This window comes from Homo sapiens, chromosome 3 (assembly GCF_000001405.40).
Source record: "Homo sapiens chromosome 3, GRCh38.p14 Primary Assembly".
In the NCBI taxonomy this organism is placed as follows: Eukaryota; Metazoa; Chordata; class Mammalia; order Primates; family Hominidae; genus Homo; species Homo sapiens.
The window spans coordinates 111,921,940-111,935,981 of NC_000003.12; the positions used below are offsets into that span (position 1 = coordinate 111,921,940).

The 14,042-nt window shown below is 38.1% G+C and overlaps 1 protein-coding gene across 4 annotated transcripts in view; it reads left to right on the forward strand.

The window, feature by feature from the left end:
- The window catches only part of PHLDB2 (pleckstrin homology like domain family B member 2), a 244,022-nt gene that overhangs the window by 189,444 nt on the left and 40,536 nt on the right, over window positions 1-14,042 (forward strand). For 2 of the 4 annotated variants that reach the window (NM_001134438.2, NM_001134439.2), the window contains exon 6: window positions 10,330-10,458. The exons of the other annotated variants lie outside the window; for them this stretch is intronic. In NM_001134438.2, the coding sequence (NP_001127910.1) occupies window positions 10,330-10,458 (129 nt within the window). The remainder of the gene's footprint in view (window positions 1-10,329; window positions 10,459-14,042) is intronic. 4 annotated transcript variants of the gene reach the window in all.

A 14,042-nucleotide genomic window follows, 5' to 3' on the forward strand; every position in this document is an offset into this window, starting at 1 on the left:
TCCTAAAAGGCCAAAATGAAGTCAAAGAGTTGACTGTCTAAGTCTGCAGTACTGAAGGATTCAGTTAATGGCTATGCTTTTCAAAGATTCTGCAAGAAGCCTTCATTGGAGGCATCAGATGTCTTGTGTTAATATTTTATTATCAAGTAAATATTAATTAAATTAAGTAATAGTAGAGTAGTTTTATTGCTATGTATATCATATTGGAAAACTCGTGCAACATAGGAATTAGGTATCATGTTCCCTGTGAACCCTCCTGCCATCCTAATCCATGTAGTTATTTATTTTGTGTATCTCACATATGGCATGGCCTGCAAATTCTATTTGTGTATTTCTCATTAATATCAGATTCTACACAAAAGTGAAGCAAGTTGAGCCAATGTTAAATCTCACTTCCCAGGGAAAGTTATCTTATGTTTTCAAGGTGGAATTCTCAGGTGGAATTCTAGGAACACGGGCAGAAACAAGCAAGGAAGCTACCTCCATCCTTCCTAATATTGTTTTGATGGCTTGACAGAGGCTATGCACTGGAGAGGGGACTACAGGGGCTTGACGCATAGGACCAGCTCATACAGCTATGAGGGAATTAGTTGGTCTTAGAAGGTAGGATTATTCTCTGTCATTACATCATGTGAAAAATGGCAGAAACTGGCTTGGGGTGAGGAACTCCAGAAGAGGATGTGGGAAGTGGAAACAAAGACTGGTCTAGATGATGTTACTACGTATTCTTGACAACTAAACTCAAATAGAGACTCAACACAGCTTGGCAAAAACATTATTATGTTTCTCAAATAAATTTATTCCACCATTTAATGACACAGCTATTTCATACACTCTGTTCATACTCCTGGCCAACTTTCATCCCTCTGGCTCAGAGATCATCTTACCATAGAGAAATTAGAAGCATCCCATCTTCTCACAATGAAGGCGGGGTTCCCTCCTTCCATCAAAGACCACTCCCTTTGGATGTGCTCTGGGTGTCATCCTATCCCACCTTCTTGAGGTCTTCAGTCTTTCTGCACCCTCACCCCCTGGGGTCAGTTTCTCTCTCTTTACTGTCAGCATGCCAATATTATTATTTTTAAAATAAATTACTACTTTATCGATTAACGATAAGCTACTACCTTATCTCTCTTCTCTTCATCATAGCTAAACTTATTAAACAATTTTCTGGGTATACTGTGTCTCCTTTTCTTCATTTTCCAATTAAACATTCTTCCCACTCCAGTTGGCTTAGACCTCTACTCCTCCATCAGATTCTCTCCTGTTAAGACTACTAAAGACCTCAGTGGTGCCCAGCCTGCTGGGTGCTTTTCAGTCCCCTCATGATCAGACTCCCGAGCAGCATTCAGTACAGGGGACAGCTCTTTTCTTGGTGCTTCTTCACTGTCTCCCTTTTGTTTGCCTCTGTGTACCACAATCTTCTGGTTTTCCATCTATTTCTCTTACCTCTTTCTCACTCTTTATCTCTCATCTGAACTCAGTTCTCTTGTACCCTCATGTCCTTCTATAGCTATGGCTTCAAATAACTTGTATATGCTGGTGACTATCATAGGGATTTCTCTAGTTCATAACCCTTTTTGGAATTCTGACTCATATCCTGTGCCTACCTGACATCCCCACTTGGATATTTCATGGGTATTTCCAATTGAACACACCCATAACTGAACTCTTGATCTTATCTTTTCCCTTGCCTTCCACCCTCCACCCTCCATCCTCTAGTTTTTCCAACCAGGAGATTGCATCTCTATTCACCTATATGTTCAACAGAAACCTGGAAATTGATCTTGACACGTCTTTCCTTATCATCCCTACATTCAGTTGATTACCAGCTTGTTTCTTGATTGCTTCAACATCTCTGCATCTCCACTAACAGCATTCTCTTCTCTATTATGAAAATCTCTTATTTAGTCTACTTCCACTTGCTTTCCTTCAATCCATTCTCTTCACAGCAGCCAATGTGATTAAAAAGAAGAAATTAGACCATATTACTGTGGTTTGCATCACACTGTACTTGACTATGCATCCAAATTCCGTAGTGTGATCTGTCACCAGCCTTTCTGTCACCACCCTCCCATTCTTCACAGCACTCTCAGAGTCACCTTCCTTTCTATCTTTCTGTTTGTTAAAAGATTCATCCTCCCCCAACCCCAGTCCTTTGCAGATACTGTTTTCCCCTACCTGGAATTCCCTTCCTCATATTCCATGCCTCATTGGTTCTGTCTTTCAGGGCTCAAGATCAGTGTTAGTTTTTCAGAAAAGCCCTCCTAGACCTTTCCAGTTCGGGTTAGATTTTCCCTGTTGTTCTTTTTACAGATAAACATTTTATAATTTATGTTTGTTTTGAGCCTACTAGACATTTATATCCCACTCTAGCCTGTGAAATAGAGGAGGGCACTAGGGCACTGTGATCCACTGTTTATCCAGCCCGTAGCATGTGCCAGGCAGGATACTGCCCAGTGTGCTTACGAATATTGTTGTTGGATTTTCCTGCTAATGGCTGGTCCAGGCTGGGCCTTAGCAAAACACTGAGCCAAACACCTGCCAAAGAGTGCAGCCAAGTTTCAGGACAGCTGGGCTGGGCTGCCCGTGTGCATATGCCAGGAGGCCTGTAGTCACACGGCCCATCATGCCAAAGCGTAAGACAGAAGGAGGAAGTGGCCTTTCCCCTTAGGGATCGTGTTTCCTTTTCCATACACCTGTTGCTGTGGTCAGATATAAACCATGGAATGAGAAAAGCAAAACCTGAAAAGATATCTCTGTTGGGCAAGCTCCGATTCAGATGTTAATAGTACATCCTGTAAGCCTGGCTCTAGAATTTTGGAGACAAGGCCGGAGCCATAGGAAAAAGGTTTAATAATACCTCAGAATGCCTCCCCATTCAAATCTTTTGTTTTTTATTTTTTTGGGACAGAGTCTCTCTCTGTTGCCCAGGCTGGAGTGCAGTGGCTTAACATTGGCTCAGTGCAACCTCCTCTTCCCAGGTTCAAGTGATTCTCCTGCCTCAGCCTCCCGAGTAGTTGGGATTACAGACTCCCACCATGACACTCAGCTAATTTTTACATTTTTAATAGAGACGGAGTTTCGTCATGTTGTCCAGGCTGGTCTCGAATGCCTGACCTCAGGTGATCTGCCTGCCTTGGCCTCCCAAAGTGCTGGGATTACAGGTGTGAGCCACCAAGCCCAGACATCAGCATTCAAATCTTGATATGAAATTACTGATGTTATTTTTTTGGCTCTGAAGATTGGTCTTTAGTGTTACTTCTTTTAGCTGATTTAGGAATGCATTTTATTTTGCACATTCGTTACCCTATAAAATATAAACCATAGGCATACTTCTATAGAAAACATAAAATATAGTCAGTTTGTTCTACTGTGTATTTATTGAACATTTTTGCAGCAGTTTCCTGCACTGGCCTTTTATTACCCTTAGGGGTACCACTGTTACGAACATCAATAACCCTGTTTCCATCTGACCTTGAGATACATGCCACCTGCCGGTTGTGTTCTCGGATAGTAGCCACATCACAGATGGAGCCACTATGAACATTGATAAAGCTTAAACAAGGATCTAACTCAGACATAAATCTGGAGGGTATATTTACTTGGTGAAGCAGTAAGCAAAGAGACCATCACATTTTCTTATAGCAAGTGAAAGAAGATTGGGACCTCTGGTCTAGCAAACTGTTTTCATTTAATGGGCCTGGTGACAGAGTAGGGAAACCGCTAGCACCATGAAGCCCAGCTTGGGCAAAGGCCTGACTGTGGAACTGGCTTCCTTCCCTTCTACTCCCCATCCCCATTCCAAGGCAGAGCCTGATCTCAGGCAATGGCTAAGAAGATACGGATGTGTGCATCTGTTTGCGTAGGTTTTCTGTCTCTATTTCTAGCTGTGTTAAAAATTTGAAACTAAAAATATTTTTCAATTTCTTCTATTTATGGATTATCTGTTTTATCTGTGCTTCTTTTTAGCGCACAAAAATCAAGTCAGTTGTACCAAAATTAAATAAAATGGTTAAGAAAAGCTTCTGATTCAGTAGACGTGCTGAGGGGTCTTCCCATGACCCAGATGATAAACATATATCTCAAACTATCCTTTTGTTTAAGGACAAATATTGTGTGTCTTCACACAGATGCATTGTTATATTTTGTAGCCATCCTAGCCTGCACTCTTAAACACATGAAACACACTTAAAGTTTTGAACTGAAGCTTAAATCATTCTGTGCCATACAACATGTACCTGAATGAAATCTTAAATTCTTTGACTTCCTAATGTTTCTACAGTAAGCATATATCATTGCATGTTAAATGGTTAAATCTTTTTTCCCACGATTTTCTGGCCAAAGTACCTGTTACTTCCTCCCCATCCTTCCTTTGGAGCCAGAGAAAGACAGTGAGCCTAGCCCAGAATTCTTCAGCAAAGTGTTAATACCTCTTGAGTGCAGAACAGGTGCCAAGTCACAGTCAGTGTGCAGCAGGGACCCAGCCCTTCCCGTGCCTCTTTCTTACATTTCAAAGTTGGCTCCCTGGTCAGAGGAAGTGGAACTGTATAATGGGATTTGGGGATTAAATCAATAGGATTCCAGCTTGAGGCTATTTTTTTTCTCGTAGTTGTTTGATTACATAAGTCCTGAGTTTCTGACTTTCTAGTTTTTTTTTTTTCTATGCTAAACATTCATCAATTGTGTAATTAAAATGTCAAAGCCAAAGGAAAAAAATCTAAGAAAGAAAGAATTATAGGATGTTCCTCTTCAGAGGCAGAGAATGGTTGGTTACTCAACAATCATTATTTGTTGACACAGGTCTATAATCTTTCCTCTGCAGTTCCAAAATCTGAAAAGTTTCATGGGGAAAAAAAGTAATTTTGTAAGGTTGAATATTCATAAATGTAGCTACAGAAATAGTAACATGTTTGATTAGAGGGTACTGCTCCAAATCTCACTGGAAATGTCATATAATATACGCTATATAATCTGTGTTACCTCTATGAAATTTCAGAATATTCCAATATCCAAAATACTTCCTGACTTATATAGTATCATGGACGTATGCATATGTCCAGACTCATCAAAAGGAATGCTTAAACATGGGCCATGTTTTTGCCTATGAATTCTACTTCAATAAAGCTGTTAAAAGAAAAACGAATTTCACATAAATGATTATGGGCCTAAAATAGTTGCCTAATCTATGAACCTATAAGGATGCCTGCCTCCCAAACAAAGCCACAGGGTTTAGGAACAGGAAGGAAAGGGATTTTTAGGATACATAGATAGGACTTTGAATGGACCTCCCTTAAAAATGACTGGCCAGGCGTGGAGACTCACACCTGTAATCCCAGCACTTTGAGAGGCTGAGGCAAGAGGATCACTTGAGCTCAGGAGTTCAAGACCAGTGTAGGTAACACAGTGAGACCTCATCTCTGTCAAATAAATAAATAAATAAACAAATAAATAAATGAAGGCTTAGAGACTATAAATTTTGACATATCACTGCGTCAATTCCAAACCTGACCGCATATCTAATGAAATGTGGCCCGCGTGCCTAGAGTGCTGGGTTCTGTGCTAAACAGTTTGGAAATTACAAAAGTGGATTTTAATTTTTAGGAAAATCTTTATCATGCTAACAGGGTTGTCAGAACTAGCAAACAGAAATACAAGAACCTCAGGTACATTTGCATTTCCGACAAACAGAATCATTTTGTATTGTAATTATGTCCCGTGCAATAATTGGGACATACTTAACATTAAAGTCATTTGTTGTTCATCTGAAATTCAGTGTAGCTGAATGTCTTCTGTTTTATCTGGCAGCCCTACAGGTTAATAAATTTGTAACCTTGAACCATCTGTTTATCAAGTATTGCACACTTAAATATGATAAAATGATTTTTTAATTGGTATCCTAGAATATTCTGTGTAGTATTGAAACTCCAGAGAGTTAGCAAATTAAATTTGCTTATTCCTTCAGTAATACAACTTAGAAGAGAGACAATTTATGTTATTGTCTTTTAACCATCTAGCAGAATAAGTAGTCTTTTGACAAGCCTTGCGTTTTTAAGATCATTCAAGATTATTGGCAACTCGTGTGCAAGTTCAAATTCTTTAGTGTAAACTTTTAACAATCCTGATCATTTTTATGGTTAGACGATAAATATTTCACCTCTGAATTTGAAATGTATCATCCCTGTCTGTACGAATATTGCATACTGCAATCTGTCACAGTTTTTGTTTGGTTTACTTGAGACATTTAATTTAAATGTAAAAAATTTACAATTGGGATATTATTTGTAAGAGAGGACTTTTATACTGTGAAGTAAAGGCATTAGGACCAAATATTTTAAGAATAGTTTTTGGTGGATCCTGTATTAATGTTCTATATATTCATTAGAAAAATCAAATTGTAGTTAATTGCTTTTGCCTCTCTCATAACCCTGGGTGGCTAAGTCAATGGGTCTCAACCTGGCTGCATATCAGAAAACCTGGAGAGATTTTAAAATGCTTGTTACTAAGCCTTCTATCCCTGGATTTGTAACCAAATTGGGGCCTGGGAAATAGTATATTTAAAAGCTCTTCCACATTGTTCTAATGGGTTAACTGGACTGTGCTACATGAGGACAGGATCAATTGCTCTCTTTTCTTTCCTCTCCTCTAGTTTTCTTTCAATTGTTATTGAGCAAATGAACAAACAACTCACTATGGAAGCAAATATAGGCCCAATTTTATAAACTGATTTCTACCTTAATTTACCCATGGGTAATTTATCTTTGTCTATATATGAATGTGGAACTCTAGAAACGTCAGTTTTAAATATACAAAATAGGTCAAAACTGGCATGAATTTGTGACCCAACTGGATTTTGCTCGTACATCAAGAGAAGACAAGTCAAAGTGAGAACAGTGCTGTCTCTAGGAAAGTCCCATTCTGTTTGTGGTTTTATAAATGCCCTCTTGTACATCTGGATTTTCCTGGAGTGTTCCAATTCCTTCTAATCTTAATTTTTTCAATAAAGTGAAATGTGATAAATTTATTAAAAATGCATTTTAGGCTAGGTGCAGTGGCTCATGCCTATAATCCCAGCACTTTAGGAGGCCGAAGTGGGAAAATCTCTTGAGCCCATGAGTTCAAGACCACCCTGGGAAACATAATGAGACCCCCATCTCTTCAGATAAAAAATAAAAAATTAATCTGGTATGGTTGTGCACACCTGTAGTCCCAGCTACTTGGGAGGCTAAGATGGGAGAATCACTTGATCCTAAGAGTTAAAGGCTGCAGTGAACTGTGATCATACCACTGCAATCCAGCCTGGATGACAGAGTGAGACACTATTTTAAAAATTTTTTTAATTCATTTTTTTTCCTGAAAGTACATTTATGAATATTTTTTAAAAAGTTATATTCTCTCTCAGTTTGGTGTTTGGAAAATATTATTGTGCCTATTGCAGTTAGAATAGGTGAGTTTACCAATTTAAATATGGTGGAAGAGAAAAACCTCAATCTTAATATTTTACATTTAAAAAGCAAGAATCCCTAAACCCTCAAATGCCATCTATTTTACATTCACTGTAGAAGGTGAAACTTTCAGCTCTAATTAACTGCTTGCCTAGAGCTAATTTTCCTTTAACAACTTCCTGGACAATAAATAGAATAGAGGAATATTAATTTCTTTCTGGCTCAAAGTTGGTCTACTTCTGGCACTCACAGGAGTTATATCACCTCTGCCGTCCTCTGTGATTTATAGCCAGGCCCACCTGCCACTGGTCTTCTTTCATCCTTTCCCTTTACTTCCTTTGCCCTAGCTTTGGCCCCACTGAGCTTTTGCTCTGGGACCCAGGTAGTGGTCACAGCATTACTGATAAACAGAGAAGCTGCAAAAAGTTCTAATGGTGCCTGCTTGCATATTCTTCTAGATGCCCCCTTGTATGAATTGCAAAACCTTTTGAGCACCTCGGAAGTAAGGCACTATTTAAATATAAGATTTTTTTTTTTTTTTTTTTGAGGCAGAGTCTCACTCTGTCGCCCAGGCTGGAGTGCAGTGACACGATCTCGGCTCACTGCAAGCTCTGCCTCCTGGGTTCACGCCATTCTCCTACCTCAGCCTCCCGAGTAGCTGGGACTACAGACACCTGCCACCATGCCCAGCTAATTTTTTTTTTTTTTTAGTAGAGACGGGGTTTCACCGTGTTAGCCAGGATGGTCTCGATCTTCTGACCCGTGATCCGCCTGCCTCGGCCTCCCAAAGTGCTGGGATTACAGGCATGAAAGATTTTTTTTTATTAGTTGTTGATTTGAGTTTATTATTAACAATACAAACATTTGAGAGCATCAGGAGTACTTTTGTTATTTCTTCAGATTTGAGACCTGTGTTTTAGGCCAGTGGCTTTCTGTATTATCAAATATCATATCAGTGTTTTCTGTCAAAGATAACTTTAAATTTTAGGGCTTTATACATGTGCTATTAAATTATAATGAGTAGTCTTCTTTTTTAAATTACTTTTTAGCTTTCCATTTGGAGGTAGAGTTGCTGCAAACTCTGGTGATGCAGTACCTAGAAATAGAACTCTTGGGATAAAATTATTTTGCTGTGTAAATAGGGCAATCTTTGATGCACACACATAGGAGAGAACACCTTTTCTTAGCCAGAGGACAACAGATATTCTGTATGGCTGGTTTTATTAAGGAAAAAAAAAATTCTGAAACTAAAGACTAAATCTAACGGTGCTAGTATATTCAGTTTAACTATGGATTAGCACACGTGGGCATCCTTTGTTCTGTTAATAATGCCATTGCTTTCTCCAACTCTTGCACAATTGGTGTGTACAGTGAGCAAACTTACCATTGAAGATCGAAGAAATTTTCGTTGTTGTCTGTTAAACTTTTAAGTTGTTACAGAACCATGTTAGATTGGTATGTGAAGTAGGGGTCTCAGGTTTATGATTTCTGAATTTAATTATTTTAAGAAAATTACATTTCTAAAGCCAAATATACATTTCTAAATTTAAGTGAAAAATGGAGACTCAAGTGAACTGGTATTGATATCATGTAGTTTTAGATTTGAACCATAACATCTTTTATACGGAATCTATGTGTTTATGTAGGAAATCATGGCCATTTTGATAAAATGTAGTAAGGATAATGTCATAGGACTATTTCAGAGGAAAATCCTTAAAAAGAGTCCTTCTGTGATGTGCTTAGAAGCTAGTTTTGTTCCTGCCAGTTTATATAAAAGGAATATAAGGAAGGGAAGGTGGTGGTCATTTCACTTACCGAAGGTCAAATTGTCAAAGTGCTTCATAAAGTGCTTTTGTTTAGGCTGATGGTGTTACACAAGAAGACACATCTAAAATTTGTTTCAATTGTTCAGAGCATCATAAAAAGAACACAAGTTGGGAAGACTGGCACCAAAAAACTGAAGTTTTGTTTCTTAATTTAAGAGGTAGCATTGTAAAGCCGTGTAATCACTGTATTAGAGTATTTGCCTATTAAATCCTAGAGAATGTCCAGGGTCTCATTGGCACGTGTGACTTGGAAGGGATTTAGTATTCTCTTCCTTCTCCTTTCTTCTCTGACTCTTTTCTTTTTTTCACAGTCCGTGTTTCAGTTTATTTTTATGTCAGTCGTTGTGGGAAAGTCTGTATTTCCGCAGTCCCCGTCACATTTTTGGTGTGTCTGAGCTGCCTATGCCTTCCCTTCACTGCTTTGTCTGTCTTGCATTTTTACTAGCTCTCTCTCAGTCCTTGAATAATCTCTCTGGATTAAGATTTTCTAACTCTGTAAGTTCTGAAGTTTTCCAGATAGCTAGAACTGTTTCAGATGACGGGGATGTCAATTAATACACCTAGAATTCCTCTAACCTGAGAACAAAACCAGTTAATTCCAAAACTTGCCATACAAAGGCCTTGAGCGAGTTAGGCTATGACAGTCCTTGAGGTAAATGCCCCCTTTCCTTTGTCTGTTTCTCTGACAGGTGACTCTTAGCAAGGCTTGCTTATGAATTTGGTTGGCATTTCTTTGATTGTTGGCCAATGACCAACACTCAACATGACCATTGCTTCCCCTGCTTTTGTAACATGGTGGCAGGAAGAAGGGAGGGAAGGAAAGTGGGAGTCACTGCCATGAAGTGGACTGTGCTTTGAGAATGCAGAAACCCAGTCCCTTTGTCTTAACTTCCACTTATATCCCTTTATCCTAGCCACTAACAAGATACGTTTCTACATTCATAGATTGTCCAGAGTTTGTGTATGTTTGTTTATGTTATCCTTGAGAAATGTTCACTAGCACCTGCTTGGGGGTGTGAAGGTAATTTCTATTCTATTTTCTGGTTTCTGAACTTCAGGAGAAGGTAAAGCTTGATGCTGAAAGGGAAAAACTAGAGAGGCTTCAGGAGCTTTACTCCGAGCAGAAGACCCAGCTGGACAATTGTCCTGAGTCCATGAGGGAACAGTTACAACAACAACTGAAGAGGGTCAGTAGCAAACAGGAATGCACCAGTTATTTTGCTTTTCGTTTTTGTTTTTCACTTAAGTGCCACTTACCTGTGACTTACGACTTCATATAGCATAAGTTTGCATAAGTTCTAGTCATTAGATACGTTTAAATGGAAATATGCATGCTAACAGTATATATTATTCCATGCTAATCAGTTTTTAAAATTCCTTGTTAGAATCCTTCACATAATTTCTAATGCAAAACCATTTCTGGAGTCATTTTTTTTTGTGACAAAAGAAGCTATTTCTGATTTGTAACCAACATCAACATTATAGCATTTGTATTAACTGATCTCTTCCCCTGCATTCTCTGCTGCATCATGAATCCTATTTACCCTTGAATGTTTTGTTCTTTAGCTTGATTTTAGACTCTTGTCCCCAGATTATCCTATTTTCTGATTTGCTCCCCACCAGCAGCTATTCTTTTGTGTTTCCTTTTCTTTCTGCTGGTTAGTGACATTGAACTAATTAGCCCAATCCCAACAATTAAACACCAAGACCCAAGATGCAGGGCATTACAAATGCCCTCAACATCTCATGTGAGCTTCATAATTTCTAAGAACTTAATGCAGCATAGACTTTCTAGTTAAGCTTTATCAAGTTATTCTTTGATCCTTAAGGTTGGCAGCGTTTAACACAACCACACTGGTTATCTTCTGAAAGCAAGACTTCCTAGGTGGATAGTTTCACAAACACTGGCACAGCCACTTAATATTTCATAGCCTCTTGGCAACTGGGTCATTTCCTTTGAACAGCAGCCCCAGTAAACTGCTTCCTTCTGGGGAAGCAGTCGTTAACAGTCTTGGATATCTGAAAGAGTCACGTAATAGTAATTTGTCTTGAGTGATTAACAATTTATGATTCTACCTGAGTATAACAAGCTAGTTTCATCCATGTTATTATGTTTGTACCTTCTTGGGAATGGGGAGGTTGAAAAATTTATTGAGATAGCACATCCTTAAACGTTCTTAAGATGACCTTTAATACAAAAATATTTGCTACCTCTGAGAACGTCACTAGGTGAAAAAATAACAGTTAAAGCTTTTCAATGTATTGCAGAAGTTGAGAGCATCTTAATAATGAGAATCCAATGCAGCTGTTTAAACTGCAGCATAATAGTTTTAGTATTTATTTCTTACAATGTTGGAGCAAAGAAAGTTTTAACCATATGTCTTCCCTTTACTCTTTTTATTGTATGCAGCTGAATTTGTTGTAAGAAGATAAAACTTCCTGCCTCTCAGTCACAATTCTCTGAAAATTTTATGATAAAAATGATTGGAAGAAAACTAGTATTTGTAAAGTAATTTCAGTTTGTAATTTGCTTGTGTTTATGCTAGTTAACAAAAGAGATGGGAAAACTGATTTTTTTTACATTTGCTTACATTTTAACTCTCCTTATCACTAAAGATTTTACACAGTCATTGGAATTCCTTATTTACAGTCAGCAGCATAGTTGTATATTTTGTCCTTCCCTTCCTCTGGTTATCCATTTATTGTGTTCTTTATAAACATTGCTTTACATAAAAATTTATAGACTCTATTCACAACTTGGATTATGATTAACATAAATACTGTTTAGCTTAATCTAGATTCTGTAGGATAACTCATAATATCAGTTATATGTTCCAAAGATTCTGACTACAAAAGAGGAAAGGAAATGATGCAGACAGTCTTTTCCATTAATTGAAGGCAGAGACTTCTTCCCTTTCCTCTCCAGAGTGTAAAATTCTTATAAAACCTCTTTCCTTAGGAGAGATAACTGGCTTGTGATGGCTGCAGTTCACCTTATATTAAGAGGTCTACTAATTCTGTTTTTCAAGGATGACGACCAGTATAACTCTTCACCAATGCCTTGGCTTAATCAGTAAAAAGTTCACTTACTTCATGAGAAGTAAGTCCTAAAGTTCACTTTAGGACCTTTCTGTGTTATCACAGCTTATCTCCCTTTAGACTTCAAACACTTCAAAATATGACTTCACTACAAAGCTTTCCCTTGGGCATTTAAACTAGATTTAATAAAGTTTGTTTTATTATAAATAGCTTCATTAGGTGGTAAGTCACACAAAGTAAAAAATAAAAGAATAAGAAGAAAGTTATTTTATTAAACTGCATATTGAATACTTCAGCTGAAATTGTAGAATGATTTTGTGCATGCAGCATAATGACTTGTGGCTGGTCTTCCTACCTTTAAACATGATGTTAGAGTCTGAATATTATTTTCATCTGATATTGGTTTTGTGGCCTGTGGTTGGTATGTTGTTAACATGGCCTTACCAATCTGGTAGTTGATATGGGCACAGCAATCCCTGGGTTACTAATAGTGTAGAAAAGAAAACTGATGTTAAATGAAAATGAGTCATTTAACTCATCTCATGTGGAAAAAGATAATAGAAATAATCTCATCCTACCTTCTCATTTCATATATGAGGATATTTAGGCCCATAGAGTTGGAATGGGTTGTCCAAGACTAATGGATAAAATGATTTTAGAGCCAGTGATAGAAAAAAGGTCTACTAATTGTAGATATCACTGGATAAATTTTTTTAATCAAGACCAAAATCAAACTTTTATTTGAGTAAATAATCAAAAGCACAAGAAAACTGTCCCAGCCAGGTAACTGTCTTCTTGTGCTTTTGATATTTACTCAAATGAATGGTTGATTTTGGTATCTTGATTTTTTTTTTTTTTTTTTTTTTTTGAGACAGAGTCTTGCTCTGTCACCCAGGCTGGAGGGTAGTAGTGCGATCTCGGCTCACTGCAAGCTCCACCTCCCAGGTTCACGCCATTCTCCTGCTTCAGCCTCCTGAGCAGCTGGGACTACAGGCACCTGCCACCATGCCTGGCTCATTTTTCATATTTTTAGTAGAGTCGGGGAGTATCTTGATGTTTTAAAAAAATTTTATTCAGTGATCTACAATTAAAAGACCTTTTTACTGTCACTGGCTATAAAATTAGTTTATCCATTAGTCTTGGACAAGTCATTCAACTTCTATGGGCTGCAATATCCTCATATATGAAATAAGGAGTGTATTAGTCAGGGTTCTCTAGAGGGACAGAACTAATATGATATATGTGTATATAAGATAGATAGATAGATAGATAGATAGATAGATAGATAGATAGAAGGGGAGTTCATTAAGTATTAACTCCCAAAATCACAAGGTCCCACAACAGGCTGTCTGGAAGCTGAGGAGCAAGGAGAGCCAGTCCAAGTCTCAAAACTGAAGTACTTGGAGTCCAGTGTTCAAGGGCAGGAAGCATCTAGCACAGGAGAAAGATGCAGGTTGGGAGGCTAGGCCAGTCTAGTCTTTTCACGTTGTTTCTTGTTTTGTTTTGTTTCTGCCTGCTTTATATTCTAGCCACTCTGGCAGCTGATTAGATGGTGCTCACCCAGATTAAGGGTGGGTCTGCCTTTCCCAGCCCACCGACTCAAATGTTAATCTTTGGCAAGATCCTCCCAGACACACCCAGGATCAATACTTTGCATCCTTCAATCCAATCAGGTTGACAGTATTAATCACCTCAAGGAGGTTGGACTAGATTATTTCAACTGTCTTTTTCC